Source organism: Homo sapiens, chromosome 16 (genome assembly GCF_000001405.40).
Source record: "Homo sapiens chromosome 16, GRCh38.p14 Primary Assembly".
NCBI classification, from domain to species: Eukaryota; Metazoa; Chordata; class Mammalia; order Primates; family Hominidae; genus Homo; species Homo sapiens.
The window spans coordinates 46,603,266-46,629,412 of record NC_000016.10 but is presented as its reverse complement, the minus strand read 5'-3'; the positions used below and the strand labels follow the sequence as shown (position 1 = coordinate 46,629,412).

Below are 26,147 nucleotides of genomic sequence, written 5' to 3'. Positions count from 1 at the left end.
AGCCTTTGGCAAGGTAGGCCACCTTTTTCTCCTACAGAAGACACTCAGGCCCACCCAGGCTCTGTACAACTGCAGATGGAGAGACAAGCCTCACCCCGATGGGACCCCTCCTAGGACTGGGGCTCCCTCCCTCCCTTTCTCTGCTGTTTAGAATATGCACTGTCTGTCCTGGTCCATATCTGCTCTCAAAGCATTCACATGAAGATCCAGTAACAACTTATAGAGGGACCCTCGTCTCCCAGGGGATCAAAAGCCCATAGCAAATTCTGTTCTGTTCTTGGGGAAGCTGACAGTCTGATTTGGAGGCAGAGGACCCCAAATACAGGCAGCCTTCACCAACCCTGACTCAGGCAGTGATACTGCTGATGAATCTGTGGTTCCTGCCGGGAGCTGGGTGCAGATGCTCATGGTCCAGGCCCCCAGTGCTTGACTCTAAACCTGAGCCATTTGGCTAATGACATAGTGATATCACATTCTATAGAAGAGAACAATATTATTTAGTTTTTCCCATTACTAAGTCGGGCTTAGTTGTAGGTGCTAGCAATACAAAAGGGAACAGGACATGTTTCCTGCTTTGGAAGAACTCACAGACTCTGACACAATATAACAAGTGGACTAAGTCTCAGAAATTGCAAACTGGTGGTCTATAGATAGGTTTATTTGGCTGGCATGGTGTTTAACATTTTTGAAACCTGTTGGTCACATTTTCTTTTTTTTTTTCTTTATGAGACAGAGTCTCACTCTGTTGTCCAGGCTGGAGTGCAGTGGCATGATCTTGGCTCACTGTAACCTCAGCCTCCTAGGTTAAAGCGATTATCGTGCCTCAGCTTCCCAAGTAGCTGGGATTACAGGCGCCCGCCACCACACCTAGCTAATTTTTTTGTAATTTTAGTAGAGACGGGTTTCGCCATGTTGGCCAGGCTGGTCTGGAACTCCTGGCCTCAAGCAATCTGCCTCCCAAAGTGCTAGGATTACAGGTGTGAGCCACTGCGCCCAGCCTGTTGGTCACATTTTAATATGGAGATATCTCAAAAAATCTTGATTTCTGACTTTTCTTGAAAGGCCACCCTAGCAACACCGGGTTCACACCCCACTGCACATACACCAGTGGCCGCTTCTCTGCTTGGTATCAGCCTAGCTTTTTGGGGCATTTAAGTTTGCGACTCCTGTATTAGGGACAGTGAGAGGGGAGCATTTCATTTTGGAGGTGGGGTAGGGTAGGTGGAGGCTTCTCAGAGGGCAACTTCCGAGAGGCTCTCCCAGCAGCGGGAGTGCGAGATGGTGGGGGCCCACACAGGCTGTGGAAGGGAAGTAGGATGAAGCTGAGGCATCTGCGCTGGAGGAAGGGCTATGCTTGGATCCGGCTTTGCAGCACAGTGAAGGTGAATCACAGGCAAGAACCTACATCAAGTTTTCCAGCAGGAATGTGAAAACCGATAAGGCCTCAGGAGAGAGGTCAGTTCAGAAGGGCTTTGCATCAAATGTGAATGATGTCACTTGGGGACTAGGGATCTTGCCACACACAGATTCTTATCCAGCAGGTCTGGGGTTGGCGTGGGAGAGACTGCATTTCCAACAAACTCCTCCTGGTCCCTGCACTGTGCCCTGAGTAGTTTGGGCTCAGAATGGAGGTTGCAATCTGGTGGGCCATGGGACAATTTGGCCTAAGAAATAAAGTTTTTGTGGCTTGTATAGTGTTTAAATTTTTAAAAAGTTAGTTGCTAAGTTTAAAATCAGGTGTTTTGCATTAAAGTCTGAATTTGTCTCCCCCCATCATTTTCTATCACAGTGCTGCATTTTTTTTTTTAAACAGAGTCTCACTCTGTGGCCCAGGCTGTAGTGCAGTGGCATGATCTTGGTTCACTGCAACCTCTGCCTCCCGGGTTCAAGCGATTCTCTTGCCTCAGCTTCCTGAGTAGCTGGGACCACAGGTGCACGCCACCAGTCCCCGCTAATTTTTTTATGTTTAGGAGAGATGGGGTTTCATCATGTTGGCCAGGCCGGTCTCAAACTCCTGACCTCAAGTGATCTGCCCTCTTCAGCTTCCCATAGTGCTGGGATTACAAGTGTGAGCCACCACAACAGGCAAACGTATTTGATTTAATAGTTTGTTCTTAGTGGAGTTTGCAAAAGCATAGGTATTTGGTCTTTGACCCTGTTGCCTCCTGTTCCTTTCCAAGACTTTTCCCAGAAGCAGTAATTTGAGTAATATACATATATTTATATTTATGTTTTTTTTTTTTTTTTTTTTTTTTGAGACACGACTAACTCTGTTGCCCAGGCTGGGGTGCAGTGGCACAATTTTGGCTCACTGCAACCTTTGCCTCCTGGGCTCAAGAGATCCTCCCACCTCAGCCTCCCAAGTAGCTAGGACCACAGCTGCATGCCACCACACCCAGATAATTTTTTTAAAAAAATATTTTGTAGAAGCTGGTGCTGGTGGGCGACGCAAGCGTGGGCAAGATGTGCGTGGTGCAGCGCTTCAAGACCGGCGCCTTCTCGGAGCGCCAGGGAAGCACCATCGGCGTCGACTTCACCATGAAGACGCTGGAGATCCAGGGCAAGCGGGTCAAGCTGCAGATCTGGGACACGGCCGGCCAGGAGCGGTTCCGCACCATCACCCAGAGCTACTACCGCAGTGCCAATGGGGCCATCCTTGCCTACGACATCACCAAGAGGAGCTCCTTCCTGTCGGTGCCTCACTGGATTGAGGATGTGAGGAAGTATGCGGGCTCCAACATTGTGCAGCTGCTGATCGGGAACAAGTCAGACCTCAGCGAGCTTCGGGAGGTCTCCTTGGCTGAGGCACAGAGCCTGGCTGAGCACTATGACATCCTGTGTGCCATTGAGACGTCTGCCAAGGACTCGAGCAACGTGGAGGAGGCCTTCCTGAGGGTGGCCACGGAGCTCATCATGCGGCACGGGGGCCCCTTGTTCAGCGAGAAGAGCCCCGACCACATCCAGCTGAACAGCAAGGACATCGGAGAAGGCTGGGGCTGCGGGTGCTGACCAGGGGCCGGGCCGGCAGACTGGGGGCTCCCCACCTCCTTGCTCTCCCCAGCCTGCCAAGCCCAGCCCTCCAGAGCCAGCCCTCCTGGGTACCGGCAACTACAGCAGCCGGGTGAAGCTCTGGAGCTCTGCATCCTGTGGCCTGGCTGCGGGATGGAGGCTCTCCTTGAGGAAGGGGAAGCAGGATACCCTGGCGGGCCACCCTGCCAGCCAGCAGCTGGCCCTCCACCATCTTCACATTCCAAGACTGGCCTGAACCCGCCGGTGTGGGCCACAGTAGGAGGGGCCAGCAGTCCTCCCTGTCCCATGCCTGCTGGCTCTGACCGTTTCCTCTCATGGGTTTGCTTTACCTGTGGCAGCAGGTTGCTGCTTTCCAGGGATGTGTCCAGTGCCCTGGGTTCTTCCCGGTCATCCTGGGGCTCTGCACAGAGCAGCAGAGCTAGAGCCATGAAACCCACAGACTTGGTGCCTGAGCGCAGCTCCAGGGAAGCCCCAGCCCCTTCCAGGCGGGGAACCTGCTTCCTGCCTTCACTGCCCCCGCAGCACTCACAGACATCTCCCTGGGGTCTGGCTCACTGCCTTATCAGGACCTCTGAGTTTTCTGACTTTCTGTGTAGCTTCTCATTTTCATCAGCACAGCATGGGGTCACGGCCCACAGCTAGGTGGGGTCACGGCCCACAGCTAGGTGGGGACTGTCTGCTGGCTCAGGGCCCAGTGTTTTGCCACTCAGGTTGCAAAATTAGCTAATCCTTCAGTGCCAGCACTCAGAAGTCTGGCAGGTGGGGGAATGAGATGAGAAAGTGGACATTTAAGGTCCAAGTAGAAGCTTGCATCCTTGAGGCTCAGGGATGAGAGGGCACCGCAAGGCACCCAGCCTTACCCCACAAGCAGGAATCCTGCCAGCCGAGCGTGGGTCCCAGTCTAGTTTATGGAATCGAGTCTCCCAGACAAAAAAGGAGAGGCCCTGGCGGTCCTTGGCCTGGCCCATTTTATTCCCTGGACCCTTAACTGCCTCACCCTGAGCTGGGCACCAAGGTTAGAAGGCAAAAGTGGGGTAGGGGGATGTGGGAAGCAGCATTGTCCTCTGGGCATGTGGCTCAGAGGTATCACAGTGACAAAAGAGCCAGGGCTAGGGCTGGAGGGGCCAAGTGATCTTCCTTAGCCAATCCCAGTCCGTCTGTGTCAGCCCAGCTCTGCCTCGCAGCCCCCTCAGCATGGGTGCCCCCAGAAGTAAGCAGCTCTTGGACCCACGAGCAGGGCTGCGTCGGTTTGTGGTCTAGCTCCCAGGGCCAGGCCAGGCATGGCTCAGTGCAGTCCCTGGGCCAGTGAGAGGCCTCCCCCATGCCTCCCTGCCCTCTGCACTAAGCACTTTCCAGGCAGGCCTGGCCATAGGGCAAGAGCAGGCCTTACAGCAGTGCCACGGTGACCCAAGAGGCAGGGTTGGGGCCTGGACAGGGCTTCCTCTGCTGAGACTGAGACAAGCAGGGCTTGATGCTGGTGGTGGAGCCAGCATCTCACCTGCCAGGCTTCCTTTTGGGCAGGGAGGCTACCTGTGGAATGGCTGAGCCTGGTTCTGCAGGGGAGGAAGGCTGCCAGGAGCTGAGGGGCTGGCACCTGCATTGAGGGGAGTCTGGGTGCATCAGATTGGGGGGCACCAGAGGCGAGGCTGCCTGGCTCCCTTTCTCAGCAGCTTTGCTTGTGGCAGGGGTGAGAGTGGAGCTGAGTGGGGTCTGGGCTCTGCCCCTGCGCCTCCACTGCAGTGCCTGGGCTCCCCTTGCAGGGCAGACAGTGCCTGGCACTGAGGGGTGCCCCCAGACCCCGCTGGGACTGGATGTGCCGTGGGCAGTGCCTTCCTCCAGCCTCACAACCTTTCTGCTGGGGCTGAAGTTTCTGGGGTCACATGGTCAGAAGGGGCTGAGCTGGTCTTTCACTGCAGGCCCACTCTGAAAGAGAAATCCCATGAAGCCTGTCCTTGCAGAGCCCCTCTGTTTTTGGGGGAACAGGGAGCATTCACAGGGTCTTGGGAACAAAGGCCTGGGCCTCCCCGTTTGAATTTCAGCCCCAGTTCCAGGGCAAGTCCCAGCCACCCAAGCATACTTACCAGTACTGCCCACCACCACCCACTGCCCACCTCTAAGAAGCCCGGCTCTCCTACTCTGCTTCCAGGCTGGGGCCTCACAGGTGGGGCTGTTACCTTCCTCAGGGCTTAGGGAGGGAGGGAGGACATGGACAGGGCCTTCCACCCTGGCTCCTTCACAGGGATGGTAGCTGACCGGTGATGGGTTCATTTGTCACCTTGGACTGTGAGCCACTTCCACTTCTCGCCCCCCAGGCAGGAGCACCCTCACTCCAAGGGCTTGGCCTGGAAAGGCAGGCTCACCTGGGACTCAACGTTCCTTCCCCCGCCGCCACTGTGCCCCCCCGTCCCTCCACCCCAGAAGCCCTGACCTCATTTGGGCACCTTGCTGTCCTCTGGGCTTCTCCTCTGCCCAGGTCACCCTGTGGCAGGCCTGGGCCCTCAGGATGTTTCAAAGGCTCCACAGCTCCACCGCTCCACCTGGCTTCACTCCAGCACCCTGTCCCTGGAGCACCTCTGTCCTGTCTGGGCCAACCTGGTCTCCCTGCCCCATGCCCTCCCCTGGCTCTTAGCAACCTGCCCTTTTATTCATGCCATTTGGGGTCACAGATGCCTAGCTGGACACAGCTCCCAGAACTGGCTCCACCCTGGGGCCTTGCCCCTAGTACCCCCTGGCAGGAGCAACCCACCCCATGGTCGAGGTTCCCCTACCCCTGGATCCTGGACTGAAGCCATTTCCTACAGAGAAGCGTTCCCACCCCCTCTCAGGCACAAAAGCCGGTGTCCAGGGACTCAAGACCTGTACCTGGGGTTGCAGGGGCTCCTGCCCTGCTGTATCCCACCAGGAGGGGGCCCCACTGCCCTTCCGGCCCTTAAAACTGGGCTGGGAGAGAAGATGGGGAAGTGTGTGAGACAAAACAAAGCCGGCTTGTTTCCTCCCCTTGGCAGGCTAAGCTCTCCCGGCAGCCCGGGCTCTGGGGCGGAAGGAGAACAGTGTCATCTCTTCCTTTGTTGATAAATTGCCAAAGAGTGGGAGCAGGTGGGGTCAGGGGCCAGAGTGCAGGGGAGGGGGCAATGGTGGAGGTGGCGGGGGGAAGCAGAGGGAGGTGGGCTGAGGCCTCGGTGGGGCCAGTGCGACGCTGGCTTAAGGAGCTGGAGGGGTTCCTAATACACATTTAATTCAGTTTCTCTTCCCTAAGAGGCTGCCGGAGTTGGGGCCTCCTCCAGCAGAGACCCTCGGACCCCTGCAGGGCCTGGACTTGGGGTGAACAGGGCTTCAGTCAGCGCAAGTATTCCATTTGCATTTGGTAATTTTTCATGCCACCTATTTATGAATATACAAATCTTTATACCAAATCTATTTTTTAAAACATGGAAAAGTTGCCTTTATGGAAACTTGGCAGAGCCAGAGTGTACACATTCCTAAACCATTAAACAGATTTCTATAACAAAAAAAAAAAAAAAATTTTGTAGAGATGGGGTTTCACCATGTTGCCTAGGCTGGTCTCAAACTCTTGGACTCAAGTGATCCGCCTGCCTCGGTCTCCTAAAGTGGTGGGATTACAGGCATGAGCCACTATGCCTAGCCTGGTTTGAGTAATATCTTGATGGTTGATGAAATATTTGATAATTGGATGAGAAGAGAACTGTGTTGTCTCCAGTGATGCTGCAAATGGGTGAGGAGAAATGCTGCCATTTGTGAGGTTTGTGGGCGGCAAGGTTGAAGAAGAGAATAATGAAAAAGCTAGCGTCATCCTCAAGGCCTGTTGATAGTCTTGATTATTGTTTTCTGTGTTTTTACCTCATGGTGCTCAATATGTATTTGTTCAGTGAGCAAATAAATGTAAGGTCAGATTCTGCAAACAAAAGTCAAAGAAATCTTACTTCCTGGAAAAGTTAGCCCAATTAAGTGCAGCTTTCCAGTCACCCCTCCTGGCTCCATTTTATTTCAGCTGTAAGGGATCCGAGAGACTTTAGCCCAAGGTGTTTCTTCAAAGCAATAAGTGGAAATGTTTCCCCACATTAAGACTGCACAGACGAACTGTCATGACCAGGCTCTTGGTCCCCTGTGGACGCATCCCACTTGGTGTCCTGGTTACCTGGGCTATCTTGGGCTGACCTCATCATTCTAGTAGTGATGGCCTGGCAGAGACATTAAAAGGCTTCTTCATGGAGTCTGGCTGGTTTCACATCCTGGCTTTGCTGGGTTAGATTGGAGAAGTGACTTAACTTCTTAGTGACTCCATTTGCTCATTTGTAAAATGGGTATAGTAATAGCTCCCGTCTCATAGGATCATTGTGAAGATTAAACAGAACAATCCAGGTAACGCATGCAGGAGGGTATCTTGCACACAATATGCAGTAAATGTTAGCCATTATGATGGAGATTATAGTTGTCTTTGATTAATGCAAATTAACAAATTTACTTACTAAATTTAATTTGACATTCTTTGAAAATATGCTCTCTCTCTCTCTCTCTCTCTCTGTGTGTGTGTGTGTGTGTGTGTGTGTATTGAAAGACAGAGAGAGACTGGTGTTTGGTGGTGAAAGTTTTGGGCCCACGTAGGCCAGCATCCTTTTCAGTTGAAGTTGTGCTTGTGGGAGGTGAAATGACTTGCCCAAGGCAATACCACTAGGAATAGCCCAGGTAAGTTTAAATACTATGTTTTTTGACTCTCAACCCAGTGACTTTTCCACTATATCTCATTTCCAGGCATTGCTGGTTCGTTTTTTTCGAAAATCATTCCAAATTATATTCCAATTCGACTTTCTTCAAGTTCATCCCAGAAAAGCAAAGGCCGGGCACTTGAACAAGAACAGCTGTCAGCCTGGGGCGAGGGGGCAGTGTTGGTGGGGGCTGGAGCGGGGCCGGACTCTAATTGGTCCACGGCCTCGGCCCGACTATCAAATCAGCAGAGCCTGCGTCATCACGTCGTTGCCTGGGCTGCCGTCCGCGGAAATTTGAAATGGCTGACGGGTCGCTGACGGGCGGCGGTCTGGAGGCAGCGGCCATGGCGCCGGAGCGCATGGGCTGGGCGGTGGAGCAGGAGCTGGCGTCTCTGGAGAAAGGTGAGCTCTCCATGCCGGGGCCGAGGAGCCGCCTCTGAGCGGAGGCCTGGGGCGTCGGGACCCTAGGAGGGCGCCTGGGTCGCGGGCCTTCCGGACCCGTCTGTCCAGGGTGGCGGGAACGGCGGTGCGCGGCCGGGACCCAGTGACGGGACCTCAAAGTCGGGCGGTACCCAGGGGTGGGGGACTCCCTCTCTTCCCTATCCGCATCTCCCACTCTCCCTGCACTCTCTGGCCTCCGCCCGCCCCGAGGTTGGAGGGAGCTGGATTGGGCCAGGAATTCCCTATCTGGATGGGTTTTGCGGGAACTGTGCATTTACTGTTGCTCAAGGGGCCATTTTTTCATCTGCATCTCAAAGGAGATCACGAACCACACTTCCCTTTTCCGAAGAAGAGAAAAGCTTGAACCCTTGGCTTAGATGGCTGTCCTGTGCACGGAGGGTAGTGACGTGTCCAAAGTGAGGAGCGCCAACTTGGGCCGGAGTCCAGAAATAGAACCGGGGTCTTCTAGTTCTCTGCCCTTTCTTCCTCCTCATAGAGTTTCATTACTATTTTTTTTTTCTGATATTTTAAGCTGGTTCATGTTTTTACGTTAACACTTTCGGTTGTATTGTGTAGCAGAGAGTCCCAACAAAGTGAGAAAACATAAGTGTGACAATTCCACTATTAACCCACCTATCCAACTGGCAAAAGTCACTTGGCTTCAGTTTTCCCATCTGGAAGACTATGCCAATGGTTGTACTTGTGGTGAAGTTGAAGTGAAATAAAGTTTTTAAAGTGGCTGCAAAAATAAATACTGCATGGCATCGCTTATATTGGGAATCTAAAAAAGAGGAAGTTTCAGAAAGAGAGTAGAGTGGTAGTTGCCAGTGGGTTGGGGGAATGGGGAGATGCTGGGCAAAGGGTCCAAAGTTTCAGTTATGCAGTGTGAATAGTTCTGGGGATCTGATGTACATACAGCATGGTGACTATAGTTAATAATACTGTATTATTATTACAGTATTAATAGGCAATGACGTGATGGTGCAATGCGACACAAATTTTGTACTTGAAATTTGCTAACAGAGTAGATCATAAGTGTTCACACCACACACACACAAAAGGTAACTATGCGAGGTGATGGAAATATTAATTCACTTTACTGTGGTAATCATTTCATAATGTATAGGTATATCAAAACATCATGTTACACACTTTATTTTTTATTTTATTTTATTTTTTTTGAGGCAGAGTCTCACTCTGTTGCCCAGGCTGGAGTGCAGTGGCACACAATGTCAGCTCACTGCAACCTCTGCCTCCCGGGTTCAAATGATTCTCCTGCCTCAGCCTCCCAAGTAGCTGGGATTATAGGCGCCCGCCACCACACCCAGCTAATTTTTGTATTTTTAGTAGAGACGGGGTTTCACCCTGTTGGCCAGGCTGGTGTCGAGCTCCTAACCTCAGGTGATCCGCCCATCTCGGCCTCCCAAAGTGCTGAGATTACAGGTGTGAGCCACCGTGCCTGGCCATCAGGTTATACACTTTAAATGTATATAACTTCTATATGTTAATTATACCTCCATAAAGCTATAAAGAATGGTGCTGGAAAAAAAAAGAATGGTGCTGAAGTACTACTATTTCTTTAACAAACATATACATTATGTAATAGGCACTGTTGTAAATTATTAACAATTAATCTTCTTAATTGAAGTGGATGTACTATTATCTTCCCTTTATAGGTGAGGAAGCTGAGGCATTGTCACATAACCAGTAAGGTACTGATGCCTTCTAAGGTTCATGTGCATCAGTGTTTGTGAGCAGTAGACCCTTGAGTACACTTTGGTCATCTGTGGGTCAAGTACTTCTGGTGGCCTGAACAGGGACAAAGAAATGGAAGGAAGGGGGAAAGGGAAGGAGAAAATCAAGGGGGAGGGAGAAAAAAGGTATCTGCTAACAGCTCAGATACCTTCCCTGAAACCACTTCTGGAGACTACTCTACATTCTAAATGCTACCCTTTTTAGCATTGCTTATTTAGTAGTTGTTTCATTTATTAAAAACATTACATAGAATTAGATATGCCACTGGCTGAATCATACCTTATGAAACATTATATACAGCCCAAACCTAATGTGATTTGCATTTTCTGATCTTTTCCTTAGACACAGTCATTGAAATTAGTGAGGAGGAATCTAATAACCTTACTGAAGTAAACCTTATGGATTATTAAGACTCTCGTCCCTGTTTATTGAGGGGCGATTGACAGACTGATATTGTAGGAAATAAAGGGAGGGCTTAACCCATCTGAGAGGAAGTCAGCTCCCTTTCTTAAAGGAGCTTTATGGAATTGCTTTGGAAAATAAATAACTAAGATACTTGATTATTATCACTGGCTAACTGTAGTATAAATCACAGGCTGTATGCTTTGTAGGAGATCTTGAGTGATTTCCACTGAATTAAAAATCAACTGTCTTCCAGCTGGATGTGGTGGTGCATGTCTGTAGTCCTAGTTACTCAGGAGGCTGAGACAGGAGGGTAGCTTGAGTCCAGGAGTTTGAGGTTGCGGTGAGCTATGATCGCACCACTGCACTCCAGCCTAGGTGACAGAGTGAGACCGTTTCTAAAACAAAAACAAAAACAGCCTTCTACTTCTCCCCAAAACCTCACAGAACAACAACAAAAATCTAACTGTGAAAGATCTTAAGCGCTTATTGTTTTGAAGTAGAATTTGGATTTTGAAATATTTTTAAGTTTGGAAAACTAGTTTCTTCTCACAATGGTAGAGGTAAGTAGACTATTCATATTCAAATTCTTGTTTGTATTTTGTTTGGGATTTCTATGCAAGGATATGAAAATAGAAGCATTCAAATAAGGCACTGGAGCTTGCTTATTTTTGCTTTTTTTTTTTAGGTTTGTTCCAAGATGAAGATTCATGCAGTGATTGTAGCTACCGTGATAAACCAGGTTCTAGTTTACAAAGTTTTATGCCAGAAGGAAAAACCTTTTTCCCAGAAATTTTCCAAACAAATCAACTTTTGTTCTATGAGCGATTCAGAGCCTATCAAGATTACATTTTAGGTGAGTAGGTTTTTTGCTTTTTTTTTTTGAGATGGAGTTTCGCTCTTGTTGTCCAGGCTGGAGTGCGATGGTGCGATCTCGGCTCACCGCAACCTCCGCCTCCCAGGTTCAGGTGATTCTCCTGCCTCAGCCTCCCTAGTAGCTGGGATTACAGGCATGCGCCATACCACCAGATAATTTTGTGTTTTTACTAGAGACGGGGTTTCTCCATTTTCGTCAGGCTGGTCTTGAACTCCCGACCTCAGGTGATCCCCCTGCCTCGGCCTCCCAAAGTGCTGGGATTATAGGCATGAGCCACTGCCTGGCTGGTTTTTTGCATCTTTTATCTTTTTAGTTTGCAAGTAGATTATCTATTTCAGTCCCTCAGATTGCCAGTTGTTTCTGAGAAAGTGGATTTATTAACTTCCCTCTGCTTTATGCATTCTCAATTCTTCCTGTGTTTAATTTGTTTGTAGCTGACTGCAAGGCCTCTGAGGTACAGGAATTCACAGCTGAGTTCTTGGAGAAGGTCCTTGAGCCATCTGGATGGCGGGCAGTCTGGCACACTAATGTGTTCAAGGTGCTGGTTGAGGTAAGGTTAATTTTGTTATTAGACCTTTGTCTCTAGCTTTAAGCACTTTACTTCAGACTGTTATATCCAAAGTGCTTATTTTTAATTAAAGTTTATGAGCTGATTCAAATAGCATGTTTTTCACATCTAATTGCCATGTTGTAGGAAGTGTTCTGCAAATTTTAAAGGCAACTGAGGAGTTGTTACCAGGGAATTAAACTGGTTCAAATTAATTAAAAGAAGGTATTTGAGATCACTTAAAAAATTAGGCCTAATTATGAAGTTAATGGTTTCAAAAAAGTGTTTAACTTCTTAATTGTAATTCGTTAAGCAGCTCAAACCTAAGAGGCATTTTTATTTATTTATTTTTTTTAAGATGAAGTCTCACTGTGTTGCTCAGGCTGGAGTGCAGTGGGACGATCTCGGCTCACTGCAACCTCTGCTAAGAGGCATTTTTAAACTAGCCCAGTTTTTGCCTAGCAAATTTGTTTATATGTGGTTAATCTCTTGACAGTGTGTCCCATTGCAGAATGTAAAAACAGTCTTATTCTTCTTCTCACTAGGCCTTTTAGATTACATTTGCATTCTAATTACAGCTTTGAATTTTTCTCAGTGTTTGTTAACTGACCACAAAAAGCCCTAGTAAACTAAAATGTCAAACCAGGGAGTGTGAATACAAGTTGTTGCTGCAGCTCCCTTAGAAAATGGCATCACATACTACAGTGATTATGTACAAGGCAGTGGATTGCAGCTATTGCTTGTGAGTTTTAAAATTTTGGATTGTGCTAATATTTTTTGGTTGAAGTTCAGGCCTATTCATTTGGTTATGATAAGTGCCCCCCCGCCAATCAGTTCTCCGAAAACAATGAAAGTCATTGTTTTAAAACAGAAGCATGCCATTTCTCTGCTTAAAACTCCTAAGATATTGTCTTTACCAAGGGCTTAGTGTTGGCTTTATGGCTTCTCATTGTATAGAAAACACTTAAAATCCAAGCTCCTTCAGATGTCCTTCATGTCCTGGTCTCGTTGCCTCTCTTTCTCACCTCATATCTTGCTGCTCCACTGCACACCGCCCCCCTCCTCCATTTCCTCCCTTTGGCTCCAGCAAGAAGGACTGCCTTTCCGCTCCTCCAGCTGCCAAGCCTGTCTCTGCCACAGGCCTTCTGTGCTTTCCCAGCTCTTCAGATGGCCGCTTCCTTCTCATCCTCCTCAGCCTGGCTCAGAGCTGACTTCCTTGCCCATCTCAGCAGAACAAGATCCCCACCCCTGCTAGTTATTCTCTGTCACCTACTGGTTATCATTGTGTTTGTTGATCTCCCTGATTACAGTGTAAGCTCCATGAGGGTAAGAGGCAGCCTGTCTTGTTCATCCTTTATATTATGGGTAAAGCCTCCCCACCCATGTTGTATGCTTTTAAAAAAATCAGGTTGTCAGTAGTGTCTTATAGGTGTATCTTCATTTTGATTTCCATGTGTTAAGTCACATTATTTTAAATTTCAGATCACAGATGTGGACTTTGCAGCCTTGAAGGCAGTGGTGAGGCTTGCTGAACCATACCTCTGTGACTCTCAAGTGAGCACTTTTACCATGGAGTGCATGAAGGAGCTCCTTGATCTGAAGGAGCATCGGTTGCCCCTGCAGGAGCTGTGGGTGGTGTTTGATGATTCAGGAGTGTTTGACCAGACAGCCCTTGCAATTGAGCATGTCAGGTAGGAAAAGAAGTTGAGAAAAATAACCTTGTGGCCAGAAACTTTGGATGAAATGAAGTAATTCTGGTCTGTGTTAGACCCAGATTTAAAACTCAACTGTAAACTTGGTCATTGCAATATTTAAAAATATCCAAAGATAGGATAATCTTTTTTAAATTAAAAAAAATTAAAAATGTTTTAAATCTTTTTTTTTATTTTTTAATTTTGAGACATAGTCTTGCTCTGTTGTCCAGGCTGGAGTGCAGTGGCATGATCTCGGCTCACTGCAACCTCCGCCTCCTGGGTTCAAGCAATTCTCCTGCCTCAGCCTCTCGAGTAGCTGGGATTACAGGTGTGCACCACCATGTCCTGCTAATTTTTGTATTTTTAGTAGAGATGAGGTTTCACTATGTTGGCCAGGTCAGTCTCGAACTCTTGACCTCAGGTGATCCACCTGCCTTGGCCTCCCAAAGTGCTGGGATTACAGGTGTGACCCACCGTGCACCTGGTCTAAAAATGTTTTAAATCATTTTATGATAATTTCAAACTTATAGAAAAGCTGACAAAACTAGTATAGTTGACTCTTGAATGATGTGGGGGTTAGGGGTGCCTATCTCCCCCCACCCCTACATAGTCAAAAATCTGAGTATAACATTTGACTCCCCCAAAACTTAACTACTAATAACTTACTGTTGACCAGAAAAGAAGCCTTACCATTAACATAAATAGTTGATTAGGACATATTTTCTATGTTATGTGTATTATCTTATAATAAAGTGCTAGAAAAAAGGAAATGTTAAGAAATTCATAAGGAAGAGAAAATGTATTTACTACTCATTAAGTGGAAGTGGATCATCATAAAGGTCTTTATCCTCATCATCTTCACCAGAGGAGGAAGAGGAAGAAGAGGGATTGGTCTTGCTGCCTCAGGGGCGGCAGAGGCAAAACAGGTGGAGGAGAGGTGGAAAGGGAGGCAGGAGATGCTGGCACACTCAGTGTAAATTATCAGTGGACCCCACAAAATTCAGACCTGTGTTCTTCAAGGGTCAAGTGTATAAAGAATTCCTGTTTATCTTTTACTTGGTTTTCACAAATGTTAACAAAAGTAGGGGATTCTTAATTGGGTTTGTATATATTTATAAACTGACTTAAAAGTTGTGGATGTTAAGGCTTATGGTCGGTATATTTCAATACAAGAGTACAGAAAGTAGAAGAAGAGAAAGACAGTGAAGAAGGTTATATACTATGGTGTGTGTACTGCTAAAAGACGAATACACATTTTTTTCAAGCATATGTCTGGTCAAAGCAAGTGTTTTCTTAGGCTGCTTCTAGGATCCTTAGGGGATGTATTCCTGCCTGTGAGTCTTTTTTGCCATAGTTATTTCCACTGCACAAGTGGACCCCTTGTCCCTTCCTTGGGAAAGAAAGCCCATACCTGGATCAGTGGGTATGATTTCAACAATTTTTCAGATCAATCTTTTATTGGATAGTTCCTGATATAGATAGTTATTTTGTATCTTCGCCAAAGAAGGCTTACTTGTAGCTATTTAAAAATAGACCCATATTCCTTCAGGAACTAGAAGACTGAGCAATATATAATGACCATAATGTAAATAACATTGCTTGGTGTTTTGTAGTATAAAAAGTACTTTCTATTTTCTATACCATTAGTGAGTTAACGTGGTTTTGCTGAGCTTAACTCGAATGCTCTGCAAAGAAGCAGAGTGTTTCAGGCCCTGCTGCCAACATCTTACGGACAGTTTCTAATTGTATGCAAGAACATTTAACCCTAGATGTTCAGTATTGGGCCAAGCAGAATGAATCTAAAGAACCGGTTTCTGTCCAGAACCAAAATAACTCCCTTCTATTTTTCTCATTAAAAAAAATCTGTCAATTGAAGCATTTGAAGATAAAGTGATAACTGATAAGTTTAGGAAATTAGGAATCAGGGAGCTAATCTCTATGGGCATAGAAGTTCGTGGAAAAATAAGTATCTGGAATGTTATTTGGTAGTATTATTTGAGGAGGAGCCTGGTTAAATTTACACTTCATTTGGAGGGCTGAGATTTGGATCAGTGCCCAGTGAAGGTCAAATTATGAGGGATTTCATTTGTTCGTTGATTCAATGAATATTTGAGTGCCAGGTCCTTAGTCAAGGATGGGGTATGTCTGGTGCATGAGACACACCATCATCAGGGAGCTGTCAGTCTAAAGGTGGGAGATGAGCCTTGATGAAATAATCACGCACAGATGTCTGCATGATTGGAAATAGCAGTGAGTGCTGTGATGAATTACAGAGTGTCCTAAAATTAGGTCAAGTTGCTGTTCTAGGGTTATTTACTGGAATAATGACATTTGAACTTGGGTTAGCTGTGTGAAAGGGGAGGCAGGGGTGGGGAAGGGAAAAGATTTGGGAGCTCAGTGTGTTTAAGGAGCTGAAAGGCCAGCATGGCTGGAACACAGACAGTGCTGAGAGAGACCTAGGAAATGAGATTAGAGAGGCTGGCAGGGGCCAGACAGTGCGGGGATTTGTTAGCTGGTTAGTCATTTTTGTCTTTAAGAGCAGTGGGAAGCCACTGAAGGATTTTTATTCTTGGGTGAATATGACTAGTTTTGTGTTTTGTGTTTTTGTTTTTTTGGAAACACGGTATTATTCTGTTGCCTAGGCTGGAGTACAGTGGTGCAATCATGTGATTCAATGCAGGCTCGAACTGTGGGGCTCAAGGCATCCTCTTGCCTCAGCCTCTGGATCAGCTGGGATTATAGGCATGTGCCACCACTAGCCAGCTAGTTTTTTAACAACATTTTTCTGTAGAGATGGGGGTCTCGTTGTGTTGCCCAAGCTGGTCTCGAACTCCTGGGCTCAAGCAGTCCTCCCACCTCAGTCCCCTAAAGTGCTGCTTTGTGTTTTCAGGGGTTCATTGTGGCTTCTGTGTAGAAAACAAATGGTGGGAGATGGAATTGGTAGACCAGTTAAGACGCAAGAGAGAGGACTAGAGTGGGGATATAGAGAGGACGGATGGAGGCTTACTGAGAAAGTACAATGGCTGGACTTGGTGGTCGAGTGGATATCAGAGATGAGAAGATGTAAGTGAGGTGAGAGAAGTCAAGGCTGACTTCCACATTTCTGGCTTGAAAGAATCAACACTGCGGGAGGTACAGAAGGGAATGATGTGTAAATGCTTGGCATGGTACTGGTGAGGATGATATTGGAGCCGAGTCATGGAATAGAACTATAAGCTTACCAGGTGGAAAAGGTGGAAGGCACTTCTGGCAGCTTGACTAACAAGTTACATGGAGGTTTGAAAGAGCTTGTGAAATTGAGAGTTTAGGTACAACGGCTCTGAGGCAGGAGAGGCGCAATAGGGCCAGATTATGAATCTATTTATAGTACCACGTTCAGGACTTCTTTTTGAGGGCTAAAAGGGAGCCAGCAGAGGTTTTTTCAATCGAGTAGAGGCATGCTTAAGTTCATTACAACAACAACAACAACAACAACAAAAGACTCCACTAGAGGGTGAAGGGACTAACAGCCCAATCTACAATAATTAGGAGATGGCTGGTTTCATTTTCAGTGCTTCCTTTTCACAGCAGAACTTCTTGAAAGAGTTATATATAATCACAGTCTATACTTCCTGGTGTCTCAGTAACTCTTCTACCCTGACCTCATCTCTGAAATTATGCTCAAAGACTTCCATGTTCTTGTATTCAGTCAACGTTTCACTGATCTCATCCTGCCTCTGATCTCATCTTGCTTAACGTCTTGACATTCTAGGTATTTGATCATTCCCATCTTCTTCACACCCTCTCCTCTCAGCTTCTGGGACACCACTGTTCAGCTGGTGTCTTACTGGCTTGCTTTCTCAGTCATCTTGGCCAGCTTTTCCTCTCATGCTCAAACTTTAGAATGTCAGAGTTACCCAGGGATCAGTCCTAGGCCATCTACTGTTTTTTCCCTAATCAACCTTGGAACCACTTTGGAATCACCTGAGGAATTTCTTTATAAAAGTATTCCAACCAATACATGAAGAAAGTGATAGAATATCAGTATTTTGTAACCACTAATGAAATAAAGGTTCTAGACAGTGAACATCGATGACTGCTGCAACCATTAGGGAAAGAGAACTTTATAGAGGGTGGATCAGGTTGACAACCTGTATCTGTTGATCAATCTGAACCTCACAAAAAGACATGGCCAGGCATTGTAATAAAGTCCTCAGTTACTGTTGTTGGTAGGTTCTTAGAAACTGTGATGTTAATGAAACCAATTTTACCATAGGCTGACTGATATAAACAAAAGTTAAAGTTTCTACAGCATATTTCTGGTCATGAAAACATCATCAAACTTCTAAATAAAGACCCCAAACAATTCTAATCTTAAACATTGAAATAAATGTGAACTATATATACATTAAGAAATATTAATGCAAACAAGATAATTATTGACCCAATTTCCAATTTTTGGTGAAACAGTGAGTGACAGTGGTCATTGTGGTGACGAGTAAATCAAGGAATAAATGTTTGCAAAGCGGAAATTATAAGGAGCACCTCCTGCCATCACCCACTTCAAAACAATGACAAACATAGTGGGCTCACTGAGCGATTTCATGCCACAGCATTCATTGTTGTGCATTTGTATGATTATTGTATACTTTATGAATTTTTGTTTGACAGTAATTTGTATTCATTCACTTTCCAACCTGCTTATTCCAGTTCAGGGTTGCAGGTGGCCAAAGCCTATTCCCGTAGTTCAGGGTGCAAGGCAGGAACCAGCTGTGGACAGGAGCCCATTTCATCACAGAGTGCACTCACACACCCACACTCAGACTGGGACAAGGTAGACACAGAATTCACCTCATGTGCGCATCTTTGGGATGTGGGAGGAAATCAGAGTACCTGGAGAAAACCCATGCGGACATGGGAAAAATGTACATACTCCACACAGACAGTGGCTTTGGCCAGGAATGAGGCTCTGCTCTTCCTGCTTCTTGACTGAAGTACATTACACCTCCCTTGAAGTATTCTTGCAAAAAATCCTTCCTGAAGGCCTGCAGGTCTGTAGATCTTACTGTCAGTTTACTAGAAATAACATAAAGTACATGTTAAATGACCCATGGGGACTGGGTGCACCTGTAATTGTAGCACTCTGGGAGGCCAAGGTGGGCGGATCATTTTAGCCCAGGAGTTCGAGACCAGCCTAGACAACATGGCGAAACCCCATCTCTACTGAAAATACAAAAAATAGCAGGGCGTGGTAGCGCGTGCCTGTAATCCCAGCTACTCGGGAGGCTGAGGCAGGAGAATCGCTTGAACCCAGGAGGCGGAGGCTGCAGTGAGCCGAGGTCATGCTACTACTGCACTCCATCCTGGGCAACAGAGCACCACACTGTCTCAAAAAAAAAAAAAAAAAAAAAAAAAAAAATTGACCCCATGGGGATGTAATCACCAAAATTTAGAGTGGGGGAAATTAGTCAATAAATTGCAAGGGAAAAAAGAGGGAGAGGTAATGTGTAGGCTAACAGCGATTTAAGAAATGTGTCAGTCAAAGGGCAGAAGCGGACCCTCATTTGGTGCCTGATTGGAACAAGTCAACTGTGAAAGAGCAGCAGGAGACAATTAGGGGAATTTGAACACTGGATATTTGGTAATATTAAGGAATTAAAACTTTTGGTATAAAGATTTATTTTAGAGATACATACTAAAAATTTGTGAATGATTTGATGTGTGTGAGATTGGTTCAAAATAATCCAGTATATTTGGGAGACTGAAGTGGGTGGGTTGCCTGAGGTCAGTTTGAGACCAGCCTGGCCAACATAGTGAAACCCTATCTCTACGAAAAATACAAAAAATTAGCTGGGCGTGGTGGCGGGTGCCTGTAATCTGAGCTACTAGGGAGGCTGAGGCAGGAGAATTACTTGAACCCAGGAGCTGGAGGTTCCAGTGAGACGAGATCGCACCGTTGCACTCCAGCCTGGGCAACAAGAGCAAAACTCCATCTGAAAAAAAAAAAAATCCAATATCAAGATGGTGGGGGAGGAGAGCAGAGGGTGCCTGGGTGAGGCAGAGATGAAATAAGACTGTGAGTTGGTAATTGTTGAAGCTGCCTCATGATACATGGTATTCATCATACTATTTTCTCTGTTGTTGTATATGTTTAGGATTTTCCATAATAAATTTGTTAAATCACTTGGAGAGCTTTAAAAAAATATGGATACAACTGGGCACGGTGGCTCATGCCTGTAATCCCAGCACTTTGGGAGACCGAGGCAGGGGGGATCACCTAAGGTCAGGAGTTCAAGACCAGCCTGGCCAACATGGCAAAATGCCTCTCTACTAAAAGTACAAAAATAAGCCAGGCGTGGTGGCGGTTGCCTGTAATCCCAGCTGCTCAGGAGGCTGAGGCAGGAGAATTGCTCGAACCCAGGAGGCAGAGGTTGCAGTGAGCCAAGATGGCGCCACTGCACTCCAGCCTGGGCCACAAGAGCGAGACTCCATCTCAAAAAAAAAAAAAAAAAAAAAAAAAAGAAAAGAAAAGTGTGGATGCTGATGATTCCCTTGCACCTTCCCCACCCCACCAGATTCTGATTGCTTGGTCTGGGAGAGGGAACTAATTGTTCTTGTTTTTAAATTTATTTATTTTGAGAAAGAATCTCACTGTGTTGCCCAGGCTGGAGTGCAGTGGTGCGATCTCGCTTCACTGCAGCCCCGGCCTCCCAGTTCAAGCGATTCTTGTGCCTTGGCTTCTTGAGTAGCTGGAATTGCAGGGGAATCAATTTTTAAAAGTGTCCCAGGGAACTCCAATGTACAATGAGGGTTGAGAACCACTGCCTTATGATTATGTCCTTACGTGATCTTATACATTGCTTTAACACCATCAATGTGTTGATAGCTACCAGGTTTATGTTTCCAGCCCTGACCTTTCCCTGGAGCTTTGGGCTGTATATTCCTCTGTTATTTTCAATCCCAAACCTGTTTCTCTCTCAGTGTTTTTTGTCTCAACAAATGGCACTACCATCCAGCCAGGTACTGGTGGTCAATAAATAATTCTTCCAATAAAAAGAAAGTCCTGGCTGGGCGCGGTGGCTCATGCCTGTAATCCCAGCACTTTGGGAGTCCGAGGCGGGTGAATCATGAGGTCAGGAGTTTGAGACCAGCCTGGCCAACATGGTGAATCCCCATCTCTACTAAAAATACAAAAAATTAGCTGGGTGTGGTGGTGGGTGCCATCTCAGCTACTCGGGAGGCTGAGGCAGGAGAATCACTTGAACCCAGGAGGCGGAGGTTGCAGTGAGCCAAGATCACGCCATTGCACTCCAGCCCCAGAGACAGAGTGAGACTGTGTCTCAAAAAAAAAAAAAAAAAAGTCCTAACAAAACCAGTGTGGAGAAACTTCTCTTCTTTAGCTGATCCAAAAAAGGTCTCTATGTTGTGTGACTCATGACTATCAACCATAGCAAATATGCAGCATTCTCTAAGATATGAGAATTGTTTTGATTTACTCTTTAGCTCTCACCCCTCCAAAATCCTAATGTTTTGAGCCAGTGATAGAATTTGAATGATACTAAGTTCCATTTCAGATTTTTCTACCAAAACATTTGGAGGAGTTGGGATGAAGAAGAGGAGGATGAATACGATTATTTTGTCAGATGTGTTGAACCTCGATTAAGATTGTAAGTATTTATTGCTGACCTTGTTGTACATGTTGGAAAAATAGTTACCCATGGTTTAATTTTGCCTGTGTGAGATACACACACACACACACACCCACACTCACTCACTCACTCTCTCTCTCTGATTTTCTTTCCAGGATCTCATAGACAGAAATAAACTGATGTACAAATTGTACCACCCCTTGACAAGTCATTAAATGAAACTTGTACAAGTGCAGAGAAACTTGCTTTTAGTGTTTATAAATTGAGTCTAAAAGCAGGAAGTTCAAGAACATCTAAATTAGTAGCTCACTGTTTTGTTAATTTGAATAAAATTCAATTGAACATTGAACTAGTGGGTTAAGAAGCCCTTTGTTAAATTCGATTGTTTGAAAAACAGTGACATTATTTGAATTATAGAAGACTTTTTGGCTTTAATTTTGTAAAGAATACTTTAAAGGTATATGGCTTTACTCTAAGTTTCTGCAGTGAAACACAGCAGGCTGAACTAGCAGATCTACCTTAGGATATTTTGTCAGCCTCCTGCCTTAAATCTTAATGACCTTATTAAATGTGGCATTTATCTCCCCACTAGATGGTGCTTTAAGACCAGTAATTTTTTCTTGTATTCATAAGCAGTAACTTCATAGGCAATGCTGCAATAATAATAAAATTATAAATTGCACTCCAAAAAAATAATTGTAGAAGGTAATTTTTTCCCTGGGTGAAAGATGATTTTTTTCCCCCCGTTTGAAAGATGATTTTTTTCCCCTGTGTGAAAGATGAGATGAGAAGATAAGGCAGTAAGCCTTTACATTTTTGTGGAACTCAAGTCGATTTAGTGAGTTTCTCTTGGCTTAAATAGTAAATAATAATAAAATAAAAAATGTGTGAGGCCCGGCATGGTGACTCACACCTGTAATCCCAGTAATTTGGGAGGCTGAAGGAGGAAGACAACTTTTTTGAGACAAGCTCTCACTCTGTTGCCCAGGCTGGAGTGCAGCAGTGTGATGTCACTCACTGCAGCCTCAATCTCCTGGGCTCAAGTGTCCCTCCCACCTCAGCCTCCTGACTAGCTGTGAATACAGGTGCATGCCACCACACCGAGCTAATTTTTGTATTTTTAGTAGAGACAGGGTTTCACCATGTTGGCCAGGCTGGTCTCGAACTCCTGACCTCAAGTGATTTGCCTGCCTCCGCCTCCCAAAGTGCTGGGATTACAGGACTGCGCCACCGTGCCCAGCCCGGGAAGACCTCTTGACCTTAGGAGTTTGAGACCAGCCTGGGCAACATAGTGAGACCCCACCTCTACGAAACCTAAAAAAAAAAATTAGCTGGGTGTGTTAGGGCATGCCTCTAGTCCCAGCTGCTGGGGAGGCTGAGGCAGGAAGATTGCTTGAGTCCAGGAGTTTGAAGCTGCAATGAGCTGTGATTGAACCACTGCACTCCAGCCTAGGTGACAGAGCAAGACTTTGTCTCAAAAAAAAAAAAAAAGTTTGAAAGTCTGATTAATAGTTCTACCTGGTTTAGAATTATGTATGTGTGATTTTAGCTCTTCGTAAATGGGCTATGATTTCTATTTAGGCTTTCCAGTTTTTCCATTGTGCATTTCCTATTTTTCCATAGCATATTCAATAAAATCCCAAAATTTCAATAAGCTTGAGTATTTTCTAGGTTTGATACCTTTGCTCTTAAAAAGAAATGATTGATTTTGATTGACATGAAATATGATAAGGGAACATAACGTATATCGGACAAATTCAATCTTTACTTGGAAAAAAATTGTATTCTGATTTGATAGCCTTGCATGTGCTAACGACAAGCAATGACTTACATGCATAGCTTGTACATCACTGGCAGATGGGATGGCATAAGGGAGGAATCGTGTGTAGTTTTGCAGAAGACACGGTGGTACTTGATGGAGAGACTGGAATGTTATCAAATGTAGGCAGACTTAAAAAAGGTCTCTGGGCTAAGATAGGAGTGGGGCTATCAACAGGCAAGATCAAACCAGAGTGTCTGGATTTTGTACTGTGCAGTAAATTTTTCCTTTCTGCTTCAAAACACACTGCTTATATGTGACTAAAGGAGGTCTGAAAAAAACCAACACTGCTTCAGAACTTCGGGATCTGTGACACAAATGTTACTTCATTGCTTTTAGACTATGAAGTATCAATATAATGAAAAGAAATGAAAAGAAATAAGCTAACGGGCATGGATACTGGAAGTGCTAAGAGACTTATTTTAAAATTTGAGTCTTAATCTTCACAACTTAGTAGAACATGGTTTCATCCTCAATTTCTTTTTTTTATTTTTAAAATTTTTAAATTTTTTTGTTTTTCCCTTTTTTTTTCACAGCTGTTCACTCAGTTTCTTTCGGATTAACCAAAGTAGACAAAATCCTTGCTTTTCAAGCTTCACCTAATTCACTTACTTGAAAAGCGGGAAAAGTTTCTTTTTTATTCATTCAAAATGTTTAAGTGTTCATAGTCTGATGTAAATTTGTTTAAGATATGGTTCTATCTTGCATTTGTTTTTCCCTATCTTATTTAGAGCATGACTAAATTAAAAAAAAACAACATCATTTAAGGCAATCGTTCTCACTCTTGGCTACACATTAGCATCCCCAGGGAACTTAAAAAAATACCCTTGTATGTCCAGAGACCCATTTAATTGGTCTGGATGGGGCCCTGAGCATCTGTTTGTTTGTTTGTTTGTTTTTTGAGACAGGGTCTTGCTCTGTTGCCCAGGCTGGAGTACGGAGTACAGTGGCATAATTAGATCTCACAGCAGCCTTGACCCCTGGGGCTCAAGCCATCCTCCCACCTCAGCCTCCCAAGTAGCTGAGACTACAAGTGCATGCCATCACACCAGGCTCATTTTTGTATTTTTGTAGTGACAGGGTTTTGCCATGTTGCCCAGGCTGGCCTCAAACTCCTGGGCTCAAGTGATCTGCCTGCCTTGGCCTCCCAAAGTGCTGGGATTACAGGTGTGAGCCACTGTGCCTGGCCTATTTTACTTTATTTTTAAACCCATTAATTTTATATCTGTTAACTTGATTGTGCATTTACAAATTATTTTATTGCATCTAGAAATACTCTGTATTCTGTTTTTATATTTGAGAAAGTTTATAAATTAATACATTTGAAGTGCCAGTATGGTTGTCCAGTACAAGGTCATTTTGTTTCAGTCACTCTCTAGATTAGTAATGGCACCTTTTTTTCCCCCTCGGAATCTCAAGGGCTTATTTTTTGAAATTCTTTAATAATCTTCCTTAGGGAATATTCAGCATAATTTTGTGCCATAGTGCTTTAAATGGAAGGAGGGACTAGATTGTTTGAGTCATTTCTACTTTTTGATCCTATAAATATGATAACCTTAAAAAAATTTTTAAAGTCGTATTCAGATCCATGAAAAATATAGTAATCTTAAACATTGTTGTGAAACAATTTGAGAAACTGCTCTCCCTACCCCTACTCCCAAATTGCCCCCTGCCACCTTCTTATTAAGCTTTTGAATCTAATATATGAGAAGAAAATAATTTCTTATTAAATAATAAAATTGTGTAACCTGAACTTTCAGTGTTTCTAAAGCACAAATGCTTGGATCCAAGAAAGAAAGTAAAAACTCCTCAAGAGCAGAAAAATTAGTGACCTTAAGGAAGTGGTGCTTTAAATTTTCAACAGCTTCCACTTATTATTATTATTATTACAGTGCTATTCAGAAAGACTTAACATGCACCTGAGTTATATACTGTAAAACTCTTACTGGGTCTTTGAGGGCTAAGTGGGCTGTTTTAATGATAGGAAAATGTGCCTGAAAGGCAGTGGATTTCACTTTGCTTTTAAACTTTCAGGCATTATGACATTCTTGAAGACCGAGTTCCATCAGGACTTATTGTTGACTACCACAATCTGTTGTCTCAATGTGAGGAGAGTTACAGGAAATTTTTAAATCTGAGAAGCAGTTTGTCAAATTGTAACTCTGATTCCGAGCAGGAAAATATCTCCATGGTGGAAGGGTTAAAATTGTATTCGGAGATGGAACAGTTGAAACAAAAGCTGAAACTCATTGAGAATCCTTTGTTGAGGTATGTGTGTCTTTGTAATTCTTAGTTAGTCAGCATCTTTTCTTACTTGCTGTCTTACTGATAGGCCTGTTTCGTTTCTTTAAGGTATGTGTTTGGTTATCAGAAGAATTCTAACATCCAAGCAAAGGGTGTCCGTTCCAGCGGTCAGAAGATCACTCATGTGGTCTCCTCCACCATGATGGCTGGTCTCCTGCGGTCCCTGCTTACGGACAGGCTTTGCCAGGAGCCTGGTGAGGAAGAAAGAGAAATTCAGGTAAACGGAGAGTTTCTCACTCCAGGTGGCTTTTTTTCCTTCTGATTCACCACAGGTTTTCACAAATCCCACAAAGTATTTACAGGAGCTTTCCCAAGACGGTTTTCTGTGCATGGGAAGTAGTGAGAGCCCTGCCTTTCATCAGCAGTAGTCACTTACCAGGCATGTGTTAGGTCAGTGCGCTATCAAAGGAGATGCTTCAATATGCAGTTTTTGGCTTCCATTTTCAAAGTAAGACATGAAGTCACCTAGAGTAATACTCAAATTACTTTTTTGGGAGTGTATATTTACAAATGTGTTCTTATTGTTTTCTAGTTCCATAGTGATCCATTGTCTGCTATAAATGCCTGCTTCGAAGGTGACACTGTTATTGTTTGTCCTGGCCATTATGTGGTACATGGCACTTTCTCCATTGCTGACTCCATTGAGTTGGAAGGTGAGTATGGAAGACACACAACCAAACTCTCACACGTGATATGTTTAAGTAAACAATAAATCACCAATCTTGTTGAAACTCCAAGAATGTGATTTGAACCCATTTGATTTCTAGTGAGCTGCCTTGAAACATTAAGGACATGGAAAGCTGAAAAGAGGTTGACCCAGTGTTTCAGCAATTTGAGTTGTGGTTCTTTGTAGCAGTGTGTATGTTGGGGAGATGTTCACAGGCTCATATAGAAAAAAGACCATTAGGAAGAAGCATACTTTCCAG

The 26,147-nt window shown here is 45.1% G+C and overlaps 1 protein-coding gene and 1 pseudogene across 6 annotated transcripts in view, besides 3 other annotated features; both read left to right on the top strand.

Moving 5' to 3' along the window:
- On the top strand, positions 2,419-6,538 carry RAB43P1 (RAB43 pseudogene 1; annotated as a pseudogene).
- Positions 7,716-8,302: an enhancer, noted in NCBI's record as "H3K27ac hESC enhancer chr16:46655023-46655609 (GRCh37/hg19 assembly coordinates)". NCBI's record gives its function as "activates a minimal SCP1, AML or CMV promoter by ChIP-STARR-seq in naive and primed H9 embryonic stem cells {active_cell/tissue: H9 hESC(naive and primed)}" and the evidence as "EXISTENCE:reporter gene assay evidence [ECO:0000049][PMID:30033119]".
- The window catches only part of SHCBP1 (SHC binding and spindle associated 1), a 42,789-nt gene continuing 24,675 nt past the window's right edge, over positions 8,034-26,147 (top strand). For 4 of the 6 annotated variants that reach the window (NR_136738.2, NM_024745.5, XM_047434653.1 and 1 more), the window contains exons 1-8: positions 8,034-8,156; positions 11,041-11,208; positions 11,664-11,779; positions 13,259-13,467; positions 21,024-21,116; positions 24,952-25,185; positions 25,270-25,438; positions 25,754-25,874. Coding sequence is in view for 5 of the 6 variants with exons in the window: in NM_024745.5 (NP_079021.4) it covers positions 8,054-8,156; positions 11,041-11,208; positions 11,664-11,779; positions 13,259-13,467; positions 21,024-21,116; positions 24,952-25,185; positions 25,270-25,438; positions 25,754-25,874 (1,213 nt within the window). In the remaining variant the exon portion in view is untranslated. The remainder of the gene's footprint in view (positions 8,157-11,040; positions 11,209-11,663; positions 11,780-13,258; positions 13,468-21,023; positions 21,117-24,951; positions 25,186-25,269; positions 25,439-25,753; positions 25,875-26,147) is intronic. The other 2 variants (NM_001324318.2, NM_001324319.2) reach the window with 2 other exon arrangements.
- Positions 8,303-8,891: an enhancer, noted in NCBI's record as "H3K27ac hESC enhancer chr16:46654434-46655022 (GRCh37/hg19 assembly coordinates)". NCBI's record gives its function as "activates a minimal SCP1, AML or CMV promoter by ChIP-STARR-seq in naive and primed H9 embryonic stem cells {active_cell/tissue: H9 hESC(naive and primed)}" and the evidence as "EXISTENCE:reporter gene assay evidence [ECO:0000049][PMID:30033119]".
- Positions 17,228-17,327: an enhancer, noted in NCBI's record as "active region_10770". NCBI's record gives its function as "activates an Ori minimal core promoter by ATAC-STARR-seq in GM12878 lymphoblastoid cells {active_cell/tissue: GM12878}" and the evidence as "EXISTENCE:reporter gene assay evidence [ECO:0000049][PMID:35858748]".